The sequence below is a fragment of the Homo sapiens genome, chromosome 1 (assembly GCF_000001405.40).
Source record: "Homo sapiens chromosome 1, GRCh38.p14 Primary Assembly".
NCBI classification, from domain to species: Eukaryota; Metazoa; Chordata; class Mammalia; order Primates; family Hominidae; genus Homo; species Homo sapiens.
Genome location: NC_000001.11, coordinates 167,299,809 through 167,318,819, shown reverse-complemented (window position 1 = coordinate 167,318,819; position 19,011 = coordinate 167,299,809). Strand labels below are relative to the sequence as shown.

Sequence of the window (19,011 nt, the reverse complement as noted above, 5' to 3'; positions counted from 1 at the left end):
ACTAATGATAGCTCTTGGATGCTCAGTGCTACAGATGTTAGAGGCCCATCTCACTCACATGAGAAAAGAACTGTTATGAATATTTGTTTAGGATTTGAATGTCCGCCTATCTGTTTGAGAAAGGCCACTAGTTGCCTACCCCCTCGCTATCAATCTTGGCTGGCAAATAATGCCTGGACATAATCACTTTATGACACAGTTACACATGCTTTCTGGTCTCAGTATTTACCATAATAAATCTGCTCTTATAATTGAGGCATACGGCCCTCAAAAACAAATTTGTAAACAGGATTGGACCTGGTCAGAAAAAATGAACATACTTGTTTGGGAAGATTGCATTGCAGAACAGGCAGAGGTGCTGAGCAATGATTCCTATGGCATCATTATTGATTGGTCCCCTAAGGGGATGTTTAGCTTGAACTGCACCTCTCAGTCTGCGTGCCATGGCCACACTATGTTCAGCTCCTCTAAACAAAACGGTCAAATGGTAGAAATGGTAAGAAGTATGGCAAGAGTTCCTATTATCTGAAAACATGGCGGTCTAGTGGCACCTCAACCTCAAATGATATGGCCCACTGTAGGAGCTAAACATAAGGATTTGTGGAAACTATTAATGGCTCTTAATAAGATCAAAATTTGGGAAAGAATAAAAAAGCATCTAGAAGGACACTCTACAAACTTGTCTTTGGATATTGCAAAATTAAAAGAACAAATACTTAAAGCATCCCAGGCACACGTGACCTTAATGCCAGGAACTGGAGTGCTTGAAGGAGCTGCAAATGATTAGCAGCTATTAACCCATTAAAATGGATAAAAACTCTTGGAGACTCTGTGATTTCAATGATGATCGTGCTTTTAATCTGTGTTGTCTGTGTATAGTCTGCAGATGCAGATCCCGACTCCTGCGAGAAGTAGCTCACTGTGATAAAGCCACCTTTGCTTTTATCATCTTGCAAAAACAAAAAGGGGAGACATGTTGGGAAGAGGCCCCCAAATCTGGCCATAGACAGGCTCCCAAAATGGCCATCAACAAAATCTCTGCAGCACTGTGACATGCTTGTGATGGCTATGATGCCAATGCTGAAGGTTGTTGGTTTACCGGAAGGAGGGCAAGGAACACCTGGCCCACCCAGGATGGAAAACTGCTTAAGGCATTCCCGAACCACAAATAATAGCATGAGCAATCTGTGCCTTAAGGACATGTTCCTGCTGCAGATAACTAGCCAGAGTCCATCTCTTTGTTTCCTGTTTTAGTTAATCTATAATCTATAGAAACAAGGCTTATTACTGGCTTGCTGTCAATAAATATGTGGGTAAAGCTCTGTTCGTGGCTCTCAGCTCTGAAGGCTGTCAGCCCCCTGATTCCCACTCTGCACTCTATATTTGTGTGTGTGTGTCTTTAATTCCTCTAGCGCCACTGGGTTAGGGTCTCCACGACTGAGCTGGTCTCGACAAGGACAAGTTTCAGAAGGCTTGTAACTGAATAATAGAAATATTAAGCAATCACCAAAAGGTGTAATGACAAACTGTGAACATTCCAGGGAGAAAAAGAATAGGTCACTACAGAGTTTTAACACAGGACCATATAGTAATTTGTCTTGACATTGTTGTCTAGTATTAGAGTTCTAGCCAGGCACGGTGGCTCATGCCTCTAATCCCAGCACTTTGAGAGGCAAAGGCAGGAGGATCACCTGAGGTCAGTAGTTCAAGACCAGCCTGGCCAACATGGTGAAACCCCATCTCTACTAAAAATACAAGAATTTAGTCAGGTGTGGTGGTGCACGCCTATAGTCCCAGCTACTGAGGAGGCTGAGGCACGAGAATTGCTTGAACCCAGGAGGCAGAAGTTGCAGTGAGCCTAGACTGCACCACTGCACTCCAGCCTGGGTGACAGAGTGAGACTCCATCTCAAAAAAATAAAAATAATATTAGAGTTATCCTATTTCAACAAATAAAATGTGAGTTCTTCTCTGATTCAATTTCTTAAATCCATGAAAAAATAAGCCTTGTTTTGTTTAAAACCCAGGCAGCTTTGATTATTCCCATCCATTTTTTGAACTGTTCCATTTCATTTCTGATACTGGTAATTTATGTTTTCTCTCTTTATCTGTTACACTCAGGCTTCCAGAATCTGTGTGACACCACAAGGGTAACAAATATCTCAGAGTTCTATATCAGATATAAAATCTAAAGATACATTCCTCCTCATTAAGTTAATTATTCTTCAGACTAATCAGATGTTACTAACATTTCTTAATAATAATACAGTGGCAGTCATTCCATAAACATTAACCTCGATCTGTCTAAAATACCCTTCTTTTCCCTGTATTGTTTCGTGAAAAGTCTACCTATCCTATAAAAACTATTCAAAAGCTATGGCCTCAGGTCTTCCCTCATTCTCCTAGTTATCAAGGAACTATTTCTTCTTCTGAAATCCTATAGCAACTATGATATCCCTCTCTTTTGTTTTTGACTTTTTATTTTGAAATTACTAGAAATGCAAAGGAATCTTCAAAGATGGGTCCCATGTACCATTCATTAATTTCTCCACTGGTTACGTCTTATGTAACTACACCATTATATTAAATCCAAACAATTGCTCTTGATATAAAGTATGCTTCTATGTCATTTTAATGTCACATGTGCAGGTTCATGTAACTATCATTGCAATCAAGATACAGAACTATTTCATCACAAAGAATTCCGTCCTGCTACCCCATGACAGTCACACCAACTCCTATCCCTCTGGCTATTTCTAATCCCTAACAACCACTAATCTGCTATCCACCTTCATAACTGGTTATTTTGGTAATGTTATATAAATGGAAACATACAGTAACGTGACCATTTGAGATTGGCATTTTTTACTTGGCATTATGTATGCCTTTGAGATCCAACAAAGCTTTGGTGTGTATCAATAGTTATTCCTTTTTCTCGTTGAATATTAAGTATTCCATGGTATGGATGTACCACAGTTTGCTTGTTTTTTAATTTCAGGGTTTTTTTTTTTTTTAAAGAGATGGGGTATCTCTCTGTTGCCCAGACTGGAGTGCTGTAGTATAATCATAGCTCACTGCAGCCTTGAACTCCTGGGCTCAATCGATCATCTCGCCTCAGCCTCCCAAGTAGCTGGGACTACCAGCATGTCACCACACCTGGCTAATTAAAAAACAAACAAACAAACAAACAAACAAAAAACAATTTTTTTTAGAGACAAGTCCTCACTATGTTGCTCAAGCTGGTCTTGAACTCCTGGTCAAGCGCCATCATTCCACTTCTGTCTCCCAAGTAGCCGGGATTACAGGCATGAGCCACCATGCTCAGCAATGTCCCACTGTTTGTTAGGCATTTACTTATTGAGGGACTTTTTGGCTGTTTCTAAGTTTTAGGTTATTAAAATAAACCTGCTGTAAACATTCGTACATAGGAGGTAAAGAGGATGACAAGTCAACACTGGGGAAAAATATTGGCAAAGCACATTTCTGATACAGGACTCATATATAATATGTAAAGCACATCTGTATACATATTTTTATGTGAACATAATTTTTTATTTCTCTGGGATAAATGCACAGAAGTGAGACTGCCAGCTCATAGGGCATATGTATGTATTAGGCCATTCTTACATTGCTATAAAGAAATGCCTGAGGCTGGGTAATGCATAAGAAAAGAGGTTTAATTGGCTCAGGTTCCGCAGGCTGTATAGGCAACATAGCAGCATCTGCTTTTGGGGAGATCTCAGGAGGCTTACAATCATGGTAGAAAGTGAAGGCAGGAGCAGGCATGCCATATGGCAAAAGCAGGAGCAAGAGAGACAGAGACTGGGGAGTGGGGTTGCCATACACTTTAAAATAACCAGATCCCATGAGAACTCACTATCAAGAAGACCGCACCAAGCTATGAGGGATCCACCCTCATAATCTAAACACTTTCCACCAGGCCCCACCTCCGACACTGGGGATTACAATTTGACATGAGATCTGGGTGGGGACAAATATCCAAACTCTATGTGTATTAGGTTTAGGGATTTCGCTGTTGTTTTTTGGAGATAAGGTCTCACTTTTGTCACCCAGGCTGGAGTTCAGTGGTGTGATCACAGCTCACTACAGCCTCAACCTCCTGAGCTCAAGCAATCCTCCCACCTCAGCCTCCTAGGGAGCTGGGACCACAGGTGCACACCACAATGCCCGGCTTATTTTTATTTTTGTAGAGACAGGGTGTCCCTGTGTGGCCCAGGATGGTATGGATCTCCTGGGCTCAAGCCATCCTCCCACCTCAGCCTTCCTAAGTATTGGGATTACAGGCGACAACCACCATGCCTGAACTGTTTCATTTTTTAAGAAATTGTCAGATATTTTTCAGAATACCTGTAACACTTTACATTCCCACAAACAATGTGAGAGATCTGCTTCTCCAAATCTACTAGCATTTGGTATTGTCACTATTTTTTATTTTAGCTGTTCTAGTAGGTGTGCAGTGATAGCTCATGGTGATCTTAATTTGCATTTCCCTAGTGGCTAGTAATACTGAACACCCTTTTATGTGCTTATTTGCCATCCATACAGCCTCTTCAGTGACATGTCTATTTCTTTCTTTTGAAGTTTTGTTTTTTTTTTTTTTCTGAGACAGAGTCTTGCTCTGTTGCCCAGGCTGGAGTGCAGTGGCGCAATCTCAGCTCACTGCAACCTCTGCCTCCTGGGCTCAAGCAATTCTCTGCCTCAGTCTCCCAAGTAGCTGGGATTACAGGTGCATGCCACCATGCCCAGCTAATATTTTTGTATTTTCAGTAGAGACGAGGTTTCACCATCTTGGCCAGGCTGGTCTTGAACTCCTGACCTTGTGATCCACCTGCCTCAGCCTCCCAAAGTTCTGGGATTACAGGTGTTCTAAAAAAATCCAAAAATTTCATTTTCTAATGAATCGTTTCCTTAGGGTTGAATTTTGAAAGTTCTTTATACATTGTAGACAGGAGTCCTTTATTAGATATGTTCTTTGCAAATATTTTCTCCCACTGTGGACCATGTCTTTTCATCCTCTTAACAGAGGTTTGCACATAGCAAAATATTTTAATTTTGATAAGCCAATTCATCAATTTTTTATGGATTGTATGTTTGGTGTCACGTTTAAAAACTGTTCATCAAATCCTGCATCCTGAAGATGTTCTTCTGTTTTGTTTTTTTATGTGAGGTTTAGGTTGAGTTTCTGTTTTGTTTTTTTCTTCAGTCATTTGTCAAAAACACTGTCCTTACTCCATTGAATTGTTTTTGTACCTTAGTCACAAATAAGTTGGCTATACATCTCTGGGTCAATTTCTGGGTTCAATATTCCGTTCCACTGATCTGTGTTTATCCCTCCACCAATACTCTCAGGCTTGATTCCTGTGGCTATATAATAAGTCTTGAAATTGGGGTAACTGACTCTTCTTATTTTATTTTTCTTCAAAATTTTTTCAGCTATTTCAATTCCTTTGCATTTCCTATTAATTTTGGACTATTCTTGTTCATGTCTAGAAAAAAAGTCTGTGAGAATTTTGATAGAAATTGCATTAAACCTGTATATCAATTTGGGGAGAACTGATGTTTCCTATGTTATCTTCTAATCCCTGAATATAGTATATATCTCTCCCTTACTCTGTATCTTCCTTGATTTCTCTCATCAGCATTTTGTGGTTCTCAGCACGCACTTCCTGTACATGTTTTGTTGGATTTACAACCAAGTATATAGTCATACTTTGTTTAACAATGGGGCTATATTCTAAGAAATGTGTCATTTGGTGGTTTCATCACTGTGTGAACATACTTACAAAAAACTAGATGGTACAGGCTACTATACACCTAGGCTATATGGCATAGCCTATTGCTCCTAGGCTACAAATCTATACAGCATGTTAGTGTGAATACTGTAGGCAACTGTAACACAATGGTATTTGCATTTCTAACAAGTATTTCTAAAACGGTATTTGAATATCTAAACATACATAAACATAGAAAAGATACCGTAAAAATACAGTATAAAAGATTAAAAATAGTATACCTGTATAGGGCACTTACCATGAATGGGACTTGCAGGACTAAAATTGCTATGGGTGAGCCAGTGAAGGAGTTGTGAGTGAATGTGAATGAAGGCCTAAGACATTACTGTACACTAGTGTCAACTAGAGAAAGCCTGTACACTTAGGCTACACTCAATTTATAAAAATATATTTTTCTTTCTTGAATAATAAGTTAACCTTAGCTCACTGTAACTTATTTAATTTATAAACTTTTCATTAAAAAAAAAATTTGACTTTTAGCCAGGTGTGGTGGCTCATGCCTGTAATCCAAGCACTTTGGGAAGCTGAGGCAGGCAGATCACTTGAAGTCAGGAGTTCGAGACCCGCCTGGCCAACAACAAACGAGATGAAACCTCATTTCTACTAAAAATACAAAAATTAGCTGGGCGTGGTGGCACATGCTTGTAATTCCACTACTTGGGATGCTGAGGCAGGAGACCGGGAGGTGGAGGTTGCGGTGAGCTGAGATCGTGCCACTGTACTCCAGCCTAGGCGACAGAGCAAGACTCTGTCTCACAAAAAAAAAAAAATTGGCTGGGCACGGTGGCTCACGCCTGTAATCCCAGCACTTTGGGAGGCCAAGGGGGGTGGATCATAAGGTGAGGAGTTCAAGACCAGCCTGACCAAAATGGTGAAACCCCATCTCTATTTAAAAAATTACAAAAATTAGCCGAGCGTGGTGGCGCATGCCTGTAATTCCAGTTACTCAGGAGGCTGAGGCAGGAGAATTGCTTGAACCCAGGAGGCAGAGGTTGCAGTGAGCCGAGAGTGCGCCAGCCTGGGAAACAGAGTAAGACTCCATCTCCAAAAAAGACACACAAACAAAAAAAAAAATTAGCCACGCTTGGTGTGCAGGGGAATTGCTTGAACCAAGGAGGTGGAGGCTGCAGTGAGCCAAGATTGCACCAATGCACTCCAGCCTAGGCGACAGAGCAAGACTCTGTCTCCAAAAGAAAAAATAAATAAATAAATAAATAAATAAATAAATAAATAAATGATTTTTTGTAATAACCCATAGTAGCTTAAAATACAAAGACATTGTATAGCTGCACAAAAAATATTTTCTTTCTTTACATCCTTTCTATGAGCTTTTTCTATTTGAAATTTTTTTTTGTTAAAAACTAAGACTCAAATTAGACTAGGCCTACACAGGGCCAGAATCATCAAGACATCACCAAGCAATAGGAATTTTTCAGTTCCATTATAACCTATGGGATCTCGGTTATATACACTGTCCATCATTGACTGAAACATTGTTATATGGAACATGATTACATTTCTCTTTTGTTTTTAGTCATTCTTTTAGGGTAGGTCTGCTGGAGGTAAATTTTCTTTCTTTTCCTTCACCTAACAATGTCTTGATTTTCCCTTCATTCCTGAAGGATATTTTTTGCTAGATACAGATTTGGGGGAGTCTGAGCTCTCTCTCTACCTGAAAAATATGCCTTGGCCTCCTGGCTTGCATGGTTTCTGCTAAGAAATCCACTATCCCTGGAATTGTTTTTCCCATAGGTAAGGTGTCATTTCTCTCTGTTTTCAAGATTTTTCCTTTGTCTCCAGTTTATATAAAGTTTTATTATAATGTATCTTGGAGATTTTTTTGTTTTGTGAAATTTTTCTGTTTGAAATTTGCTCAGTTTCTTAAATCTATATAGGTATATGCCTTCTACTAAATTTGGGGAGTTTTCAGTCAGTGTTCTGAAAGTACTTTTCAGCCCTACCCTCTTTCTCCTCTCTTCCCAGCATTCAGATGAATTTTTGTTGTAGTCCTAAAGGTCCCTGAGGGTCCACTGATTATTTGTTCTCTTTTCTCTTTCTTGTTCAGATTGGGTAATTTCTATTGTTCCACCTTCCAGTTCACTCTGTCTCCTCCATTCTGTTGTAAGCCTACACAGTGAGTTTTAATCCAGATATTGTAGCTGTCTGTTCTAAAATTTCTATTTAGTTTTTCTTTGTATTTTCTATCTACTGAGGCCTATTTCTTTGCTCAGACTCCACATTTTTTTCATTTGTTTCAAGTGTGTCCATAATTACTCACTGAAGCATTTTTATGACAGCTGCTTTAAAATCCTTGTCAGATAATCCTAACATCTCTGTCATCGTGGTAATTATGTCTATTGATTATTAGGCATTTTATATTAAACATTTTTACGTACATGGACATTTCTGCTTGGTAAACTGTTCCTTTATCACTTTAAAATTATTCTCCTTTATCTACCTCCCTCCTTTTTTTGGCCTCAGAATTTACTGTTATAACAGCTCTTTTGTTTTTATACTATTTGACTGGCATAGCTCCATAGATTCATTAATTATCTTTTCTGTGTCATTTGGTTTTAGGTATGTCACTTATGAAAAGAAATAGATAGGATTTTCATTTCATTTTTTAAAAATCCAATCTGAGTAGAGGTTTGTTTAACCCATTTACTACTTCCTTTGTGATTACTGATATATTTGGCCTTTTCCCATCATGTCATTTTACAGTTTTTATTTACTTTAGTTGTTCTTTGTTGTGGATCTCCCTTCCCCCCTTTCCTGGTTTTTAATATTAAATGCAATTTCTTTATTCCCCTTTCTTCCCCTCTCTAACAGTCCAGGAGTTAAATATTCTTTTTATATTTGCTATTTATATTTTGCTAACAACTTCCAAAGTTAATCAATATCCCTAGACCATTCTAATAAGAAAAAATCTGCACATAAATCATCTTCGCACATATAGTAACTCCTTGATTTTTTTGGAATTCATCTTATTTTCTGGCATTATTTGTTCATAAATAATGTTCTATGAAAAGAATTTAGAGCTGAGGTAAATGAGACCAGAATTGACTTAAAAACAGTAAAAAGTCCTTATTGTTCTTCATAAATGATGGAATGTTTTCATATAACGAAAGCAATTCATTTTAAACTGATTATATGCGTTGAAATTAAAAATAATCAATGTTCAGAGCATCTCTAGTTAGCCAGCTAATTATCTTTAACACCTTAAATGTAACAGCTCCTAAGAGTAGGATTAAGATAATATAAAATGCCTAATTAAGCTTAATTTTAAAAATCTCAAAGAATTTCCATCAACATGGAACTAATAGGGTTCCAAATTAAAAATAAATAAGAATAGAGGAAGCAAATTAACCAAAGGTGGTGTAGTAGAAGCAAATTTGTCCAATTTACTTTAATATTTGTCATTAAAAAATGAACTTTTTTTCATAATTCAGTCCAAAAGTCATTAGATGGGGCTGAGTAAGGCAGGCATCCAAGCTTAGGAAAGTGAGTGGGGAGAAGCAATGAGGAGACTGGTTATATGGAGAGAGAAACTGTAGTAAGTAATTATTTTAAGGATAATGAGAGTGAAGTGTACCACTGTTGGGGAAAGGAACTAAAACCTTAAACAGAGAAAAAAACTAGAATCAACTCTCTAATACTAAATTGGAATTAGAAGTTTTGGTATAAAGTCAATGGTTTTCAAAATATATAAATGCAAAAATAAACACAGCTTTAAGTGAAATACACACACATATACATATATTCTATTCTCTAGTTCTGTCCATGGAGTGCCTGGGGGCAATAGTACCCCTACAGCAATAACCATACTTGGCACCCACATCTTGACTTCTAAATGCTACTTTCTACTATTAATAAAACAGGGATTCTCAAAGAAAAAAAAAAAAAACCACTAGTGGAAGCACTTTAAAAAATTATGGGAATATGTGAAAAAGATACAAGACCAGTTTGAAGGCATTCCCATTAGCCAAATTTTAGACAATCTGGATAAGGAAAAAAAAATGAATGAATTATAACTATTGCTTAAAGGAATTCATGAGTCCATACAGATATAAATATAGAGAAGAGAAAGCTTTCCCTTATAGTAGGATTCCAAATAATGTAGAATAATATAATTGGGAAATCAATATTTGAAAACCATCACAGTAATAAGTTCAGTCAAGAAATAACAAAAGGCCAGGCACGGTGGCTCATGCCTGTAATCCCAGCACTTTAGGAGGCCTAGGCAGATGGATCACTTGAGTTCAGGAGTTTGAGATCAGCCTGAACAACATAGTGAGATCCTGTCTCTACAAAAAAGTCAGCCAGGTGTTGTGGCATGCACCTATAGTGCCAGCTGCTCAGGAAGCTGAGGTGGGAGGATCTCTTAAGCCTAGGAGTTTGAAGCTTCAGTGAGCTATGATTATGCCACTGTACTCCAGCTTGGGGACAGAGTGAGACCAGGGAAGGAGGAAGGGAGGGAGAGAGGACCACTATTAAATCTAGTAAATGAAAACTTGGTGATGAAAATTTACAGTTTCCCCATAAAATAATTATTAATTACAAAGAGAAGCACAACTTTACAGAAGACAAGACTGACAAACATCACCTTAAGCGATCAAAGGTAACGTAATCAGTCAAGAAACAGGCTGGGCGTGGTGGCTCAGGCCTGTAATCCCAGCACTTTGGGAGGCCGAGGCAGGCGGATCACCTGCGATTGGGAGTTCGAGACCAGAATTGCCAATATCATGAAACCCCGTCTCTATTAAAAATAGAAAAATTAGCCAGGCGTGGTGGTGTGCACCTGTAGTTCCAGCTACTCGGAAGGCTGAGACAGGAGAATTGCTTGAACCCGGGCGGCAGAGGCTGCAGTGAGCCGAGATTGCATCACTGCACTCCAGCCTGGGTGACAGAGCAAGGCTCCGTCTAAAAAAAAAAAAAAAGAAACAAATAAAAATTTTGCACCACCTGAAAGGATGCAATAAGAATACAGCATCACTCTATGACACTCCTGTCAAAGATGCATGGCATGACTTGAATCTAATCATGCGGAACCATGAGGTAAACCCAAATTCAAAAACATTCCACAAAATGTATTCTTCCAAAGTGCCATGACCCTAGAAATCAAAAAGACTTATGGAACTATTCCAGATTGAACAACAGTAAAGAGATATGACAACTAAATCCAATGTGCAGTCTTGGATTGGATTATTTTGGTGTAAGGGACATTTTGGGGACAAGTGGCAAAATTTGAATAGGGTCTACGGATTAGTCGATAGTAACCTGTCAATGTTAATTTTCTGAGTTTTATGTTTGTATTGTGGCTATGAAGAAGAATGTCCTTATTTGTAGGGACAGTAAAGTAGTTGGGGGTGACAGAGCATCAAGTCAGTAACTTACTCTCAAAAGGTTCCAGGATGAGTTGTTTGCACTATTCTTTCATTTTTTCTGTAACTCTCAAATTATTTTGAAATTTAAAAAAACAGCAAAGAAAGAAAAAGGAAACAGATGAACAAACCACTATACAGTTTTTTTTTTTTTTTTGGTTATCCTAGTATGGCTTTGACCTCTCCAACACTCAGAAATCCCTAGTCACAAGATGTGTATTAACACTGGTAAAACCACAATTTTTACATAAATATGAAATGTACAGATATTCCACTGTCAGATTGCTCTTGCAACAATTTAAACAGTATTCTGATGGACATTTCAAGATCTTATAGAGGAGTCCACATTTTACAAGTCTACATTTTATTAATGGAAGTTCAGACATAAAGCCAGATCTAAGCACTGGGTTTTGAATAACTTTACACAGTTGGTGTCATCACTTACTTATTATTTGAAGAAAAAGTTTGAAACCATTACAACCCAAAATTCTATTAATATTTTAGAAACTTAGTTAATTTAAAATAAAATCTCCCCAGACATAAGCCAGTATTAGAAAATGAATTTTAAATGTGGTATTATAAATATATTGTCATGTTCTTTTAAAACTACCATTTTAGTGGCACTACAATGTGCTATGTCAAACTTTCCTACTTACGAGACACTATTTAGGAGAGGAAAGGACTTAACATCTGTTACGGATTGAACTGTGTCTTCCCCAAAAAGATGTTAAAGTCTACACCCTTTATACCTGTAAATACGACCTTAGTGAGAAATAGGGCCTTTGCAAATGTTAAGATCTGGTCATTAGGACTGGGCCTAATCCAATATGATTGCTATCCTTATATAAAGGGGAAATTTGAACAAAGACAGACATAGAACAGATGAAGACAAGAAGAGAGGGATGGAACAGATTCTGCTTCACAGCCCTCAGAAAGAACCAAACCTACTAATACCTTATTCTGGACTTCTAGCCTCCAGAACTGAGAGACAATAAATTTCTGTTGTTTGTAGTACCGTGTTACGGCATTACTAAAAAACTAATCTAACATCTGAACCTTAATTTTCTCATTTGAAAAATGAGAATTATGCTGTCTCCCAAGGTTATCCTTAAAATTAATATGTTATTTTGAAAGTAATCAGGAATTATAAAAATAAAGGTATTATATCTTGATAAATATTTAATAAATACAACTGTCAAACATTTTCTCCTAGTACAAGAAAAAATTTTAAGCGATGCTCTTGAGTATTTCCATGCTTTTTAATCCACAGGCCAGAAAATCATCTTTATTGTACACAGGAATAGAGTCTTAATAGTGTTAGGACTATCTGAACATGTCTAAAGTACTAGTGGTTTTCTTTTTCTTCTTTTGTCTTCATGTTTTAATCCTCAAATAACATTTTTTAAGAAGTACAAATGTTGTCTTCTGAAAACTTAAAAAAGAAGCACCTCTGGCCAGGTGAACACTATACAGCAGTCCCAGGTAGTTATGATTCAGAGACTGGAAACAATCAACTGTATTTGCTGCTGCCAAAAGCAGATGAAGAAAGAATGTGGAGGGTTAACAAGTTGACCGTTCAAACAAACAAAAAGGAAGGAATAATTCCATGCACAACGCTTTTCTTCTCTTTGCCCTACTTCCTATACTTCTACATTTCTATGTATACTAAAAATAAAAGAATACATGTGAACATGTCTACCATATGCCCAGCAGAGTAGGAATTCCAGGAAATGTTAGTTGTTCCAGCCCTGCCCCACCCTCCTGCCCTTCTACTCAGAGGATGAGTGGTAGAAGTGTACTTAGGGTAATCAACTTTGTAATCTTTCCATAATGACAGATTATCTCAATAAATTTCACATTATCTTTATAAGCTTTAGGTGAAAGAGTTTTACTAAAAAGTAAAATCAAAGTACTATCTGTTAATGCTTCTCACCTTGTATAAAGTCCTAAATATGACTGCCCAAAATAGAAAGGCATTAGGCAATCAAATGTACCTTCTCATTTAGAATAGCATAGGCTAAAATTCATGTAACTAAAAATTATTCGCTATAAGATCTCCACACCGTACCAGGAATAAACGGTTACATGATATGAGCTATTAAAAGAGGTATTTTAAATATCACATTCAGCTGGGTGCAGTGGCTCATGCCTGTAATCCCCGCAATTTGGGAGGCCAAGGCGGGCAGATTGCCTGAGCTCAGGAGTTCAAGACCAGCCTGGGCAACGTGGCAAAAACCCATCTCTACAAAACAAACAAACAAAAAAACAAAAATTAGCTGGGTGTGGTGGTGTATGCCTGTAATACCAGCTACTAAGGAGGCCGAGGTGGGATGATCACGTGAGTCTGGGAGGTGGAGGCTGCAGTGAGTGGAGATCTCGCCACTGCACTCCAGCCTGGGCAACAGAGAGAGATCCTGTTTAAAAAAAAAAAAAAATTGCCTACATTCTCTGTGTCCCCACCCTCTTTTGGCCAGCCAGGTGGTGGTAGTAATTTAATGAGATTCCTGAGGAAAGGTGAACTTCAGGGAATGAGACAGGTTTTAAAGCAAAGATTCTCCTGGTTTTGGCAAACTCAGACATTCTGGCTATTTTACTAAGAAGAGATTTTCTCTACACTTTTCATCATTACAGTTTCATTCATGATAATAAGCCTTATTTACCCCCAGGCCAGTCAGATGTGAAATGTTATATTAATTTCTGAATAATACTCTTTCTATAACATCATTTTTTTTCATTAAAGGTGTCAGCTAATTTTGAAAAGCGTTTTTAAAATGTCTTATGAAAATAAATTATTGCTTATCAACTATAAAAAGTGAAAACATGAGATAAATGTTCAGTCACAGAAAATATCCCTTTGGACTTGCCCAAATTAGTTTACTTGAACTTCAACATAGTTTACGATATACAAATATTTCATAAACATTTTTAAAGGGGGATAAGATTCATATCTTTGAATTACATTATAAAAATAGTATGATTCCCTTAGTTAAAATCATTACGGAGGAATATATGGTTTCTCAACACTACCTCACCTCTCTCTAAAATGCTGAGATTTTTGGATAGGTGAATTAGGAGAGGAAATGATTCCATAATCAGTGTTAGTTAACATGAGATGGGTTGAATTTGTGATCACATAAATTTTCGTTTAAAAAAATAAGCAGGCTAAACAGTTTAGTAACGTGCTTTGAAAGAACACAGAACTAGGTTTAAACTCCAGTTCTAGCATATTGAGCTATATGACTGCCTTTCTGAGCCTCAGTTTTTTCATCTGTAAAATGGACAGTAATACTCTCAAGAGTTCTTCGTAGGCTTAAATAAAATAATACATACAAAAGTTTCAAAGGCACATACCAGTTAATTAATGGTTAATACTGTTAACAGTAACACTGTAACATTATAAGCTATATCAAAAGAAAAATCCATGTGAAACATCACTATGGTTTGTTTATTCTCTTAGACACGTACATTTATATTTAAAGTACTTAAAAATAAAAATATAAAAAAGGCACTAGACTAGGAGTCAGATGTAGATTCTGAACTGGAGTCGGATCTCTGTTCTACACTAGCTAGCTGAATTTCTTTCGCAAGTTACTTCTTTAATCTTCATGTAGGTAATTTGTAAAATGGTAAAATGTAATATTCTCATTACTACATTAATTTTATAAAACCATTATTTACAAAGTGCTTCTATTAAACTATCATACAGGGATTAATGCTAATGATATATCATCACAGAATAAAGATGATATAAAAATATATTTATATACCCTATTTCCACTGATTTCACAACCTTTTCAAAAGAGACCAGAGTCTAATCTAAGAACTAGGGCCAATCCTAAACTATTTTCCATTGCTGGCTGGGTCGCAGGCATCCCAAGCATCACTCCATCATATCAATAAATATCAAACAAATTTCAGAGTTAAAAATAGAAAAATATATATTTGATAAGTCATTTTAATAGTCATTCCACAAAATTAAAGGTAATCATCATAACACCTGGATTTATCAGATGCTACTAAATTAATAGCTTTATTTAGCAGAAAATATTTACCAGGTATAGAAAGACTGCATTCTTTCTTTGAACTGATTCATTGAAAACTGAGAGTAGTTTGGTAATTAAAAAGGCAGGAAAGCTCTTCTTACTTTTCCAGTCTATGAACACAAAAAGAGAAAAAGGCAAAACTGAGTAAGCTGTATAAAATAACCTAACACTTAAAGAGAGAACAATTACACACAGTGGGGGACACCAGACTATCCATCAGGACACATTTAGATTAGCTGCCTTAGGCAGGCACCTCTTGTACCTATTTCCTCACCTACAAAACAGAAATAACTAGTACCTGCCCTTACTAAAGGACCATGGAGATAAATCAGAAAGTTCTTTGAATATGTGTCGTATGGTGCTATTCTTTCATGAAGCTGGATAAAACAGCCTACTCAGGTTTTTTTTAAAGGGTGCATTTCACTAACATAAAAAAAAAAACCTGATCTCCACATTTGACATTAACCTCCCCCTAATATACAATACAAGTATCTACTGGCTTTATATATATACATAGATAGACGATATAGATAGCAATAGATCCATACAGGTTGCTATGGATGTATTCTGAAAAAAGATATAAGATTATATTTTGTATTTAGAAAATGAGAAAGACCAATACTTGGTACACACAGGTGTGAAAATTTACTATCACTGGTTGACCATCCCCCTCTTTGTCATGAGGCCTCAGAATCCTCATCGATAGAATTCAAACAACATAAACCAATAAAGAAATGGTACATGCTATGACTCTTATTTAACATATACTTGTACTATTATAGCTATTTTTGATTTAGCATAATTAGTATAACTGGTATAAGTCAGTGTAACTGATTGAGTAGTATAGCTAATTAATGAAAACTATGTAAATTTTATAGATCCATACTCAGTGCTCATATAACTGGCCCACATAACTTTTTTCTGTACATTCAGTTTTGTTCCTATTTCATGAATCTGAACAGCTGAGATGCAATGGTACAAACAAAATCAAATGCAGTTCAAAGTGTCTTCTTAAAAAGGAGTTGTTGGCCAGGCGCGGTGGCTCACGCCTGTAATCCTAGTACCTTGGGAGGCCAAGGCAGGCGAATCACGAGGTCAGGAGAAGGAGACCCTCTTAGCCAACATGGTGAAACCCCGTCTCTAAAAGATACAAAAATTAGCCAGGCATGGTGATGCATGCCTGTAATCCCAGCTACTCGGGAGGCTAAGGCAGGATAATCGCTTGAACTAGGGAGTCAGAGCTTGCAGTGAGCAGAGATCACGCCACTGCACTCCAACCTGGTGACACAGTGAGATGCTGTCTCAAAAAAAAAAAAAGAAAAGAAAAAAAAAATTAGCCGGGTGTGGTGGCGTGTGCCTGTAATCCCACCTACTCAGGAGGCTGAGGCTGAGGCTGAGGCAGGAGAATCGCTTGAACCCAGGAGGTGGAGGTTGCAGTAAGCCGAGATGGTGCCACTGCCCTCCGGCCTGCCTGGGTGACAGAGCAAGACTCCGTCTCGGGGGCGGGGGATAAATAAAAGGAGTTGTTTTTGTTTTTGTGAGTGAAGGGGAGCATAGAGGCTCATACTACTTAAAATCAGAGATCAACATAAAATTCTACCATAGCTAACAGTGATGAAAACCTTATTAAGATATTTTATTACATAATACAACTGAAAAGAAATTAAATTCTTTCCTCTTAAAAAATTTTGATCTGTCCATACTTTAAGAGAATGAAAAAAACATTTAAATTACAAGAAGAAATACCTAAAACAAAAAGCACACAGAACAAAAAAACACCGTAAGGAATAGCGAAAAATTGAGAGAAATGAATACACAAAACAAATTTTTAACACATCCACCAAACCCTCCCAACCAGGAACTGTAAGGAGTAAGAAAAACCTACCCACCCTTCCAATATGATGGTTACAAACTAACAAGCTCTTTCTTGCTGTCCATTGGCACATCTTGAGACCTTTTATTCTTTTGAAATGTTCCCCCAACTTAAACTGGATGCAAATAAACCAGGTGTGGTCCTCACAACAGTAATCCTGCTAGTCCCTACTGAGTTTCCATAGCAACATGCACAGCTGGCAATGGCAAAGAGGCTGTACTGGCTTCAGATTGGTTTTAAAAGTTTCAATATTCATTTAGTGAAATAATAATTATGTTATCTCAGTTAAGAACAATTTTTAAAAAATTTTATCTTTGCTTGAAATGTTAAACAAAATAACGCAAGGTATTTTCTGCTAGTCCAAAAGTGGCTTTCAGCCCAACAGCAGTAACTAACGTGTCTGTGAAAAGTTACAAAATGCCCATCACCAAGTGATAACCATTCTTTGACTAAAGAAACATAAAATTTTAAGTGAGTATTCCCTGTGGGTCACCTAATGTAATAGGTAACATTCAGAGAGAGAGAGAGAGAGAACCAATATAAAGTCTAATCTAAACAGTAGTAAATACTATGCATCTTTTCCTTAAATAAATTTAATATGACAGTTCCTTGGTTTAATTAAAACTGTTAAGAGTTTTTACAGCTGGGCACGGTGGGTCACACCTATAATCTCAGCACTTTGGGAGGCCAAGGCAGGCGGATCACCTGAGGTTAGGAGTTCAAGACCAGCCTGGCCAACATGGTGAAACCTCACCTCTACTAAAATACAAAAATTAGCTGCGCGTGGTGGCATGCGCCTGTAATCCCAGCCACTCAGGAGGCTGAGGTAGGAGAACTGCCTGAACCAGGGGGTTGGAGGTTGCAGTGAGCCGAGATCACTCCACTGCACTCCAGCCTGGGCAACAGAGGTAGACTCCGTCTCCAAAAAAATAAAAAATAAAAATAAGAGGCTGGGTGCAGTGGCTCATGCCTGTAATCCCAGCACTTTGGGAGGCCGAGGTGGGCGGATCACGAGGTCAAGAGATCGAGACCATCCTGGCCAACGTGGTGAAAACTCGTCTCCACTAAAAATACAAAAATTAGGTGGGCATGGTGGCGTGCACCTGTAGTCCCAGCTACTCGGGAGGCTGAGGCAGGAGAATCGCTTGAACCTGGGAGGCGGAGGTTGCAGTAAGCTGAGATCGCGCCACTACACTCTGGCCTGGCGACAGAGCAAGACTCCGTCTCAAAAAAATAAATAAAAAATAAGAGTTTTCACAATGGTAATTCTTTTTGTAAATTTTTAATTTTTATTTTAGATTCAGAGGGTACATATGTAGGTTTGCTACCTGGATATATTGCATGATACTGAAGTTTTGGCTTCTATTGAACCCATAACCCAAACAGTGAATACGGTACCTGATCTCTAATTTTTTAACCCTTGCTCTCCTTCCTCCTGACCGTTTTGGAGTCCCCAGTGTCTGCTGTTCCCATCTTTATATCCATGTGGTACCTACCCCATGTTTAGCTCCCACTTACAAGTGAGAAAATGTGGTATTTTGGTTTCTGTTTCTGCAATAACTCGCTTAGGGTAATAGCCTCCAGCTGTATCCATGTTGCTGCAAAGGACATGGTTTTGTTCTTTTTATGGTTGTGTAGTATTCCGTGGTATCTGTGTACCACACTTTCTTTATTCATCATTAATGGGCACCTTGGTTAATACCATGGCTTTGCTATTGTGAACAGTGCACAGTAGCTACTCTTAAAGGGCAGTACCCGGATCAGTATCATAGCATCACCTGGAAACTTATTAGAAATGCACTTTTTTGGCCCCTACCTCACACCTACTGTATCAGAACCTCTGGAGGTGGGGGCCCAACAATCTGGGTTTTAACAAACCCCTAGAAGACCCTGAACCACTGA

General features: G+C 37.9%; 1 protein-coding gene across 10 annotated transcripts in view, besides 1 other annotated feature; it reads right to left on the bottom strand.

The window, feature by feature from the left end:
- The window catches only part of POU2F1 (POU class 2 homeobox 1), a 206,461-nt gene that overhangs the window by 108,526 nt on the left and 78,924 nt on the right, over positions 1-19,011 (bottom strand). For 3 of the 10 annotated variants that reach the window (XM_011509655.2, XM_011509653.2, XM_017001508.3), the window contains exon 2: positions 15,338-15,346. The exons of 6 other annotated variants lie outside the window; for them this stretch is intronic. In XM_011509655.2, the coding sequence (XP_011507957.1) occupies positions 15,338-15,346 (9 nt within the window). Of the gene's footprint in view, positions 1-15,245; positions 15,347-19,011 lie in introns of all 10 variants that reach the window. One more of the 10 variants, NR_037163.2, reaches the window with a different exon arrangement.
- Positions 17,855-18,059: a silencer, noted in NCBI's record as "fragment chr1:167269998-167270202 (GRCh37/hg19 assembly coordinates)". NCBI's record gives its function as "represses an EF-1alpha promoter that drives an FKBP-Casp9 reporter gene in an ReSE screen in K562 erythroleukemia cells {active_cell/tissue: K562}" and the evidence as "EXISTENCE:reporter gene assay evidence [ECO:0000049][PMID:32094911]".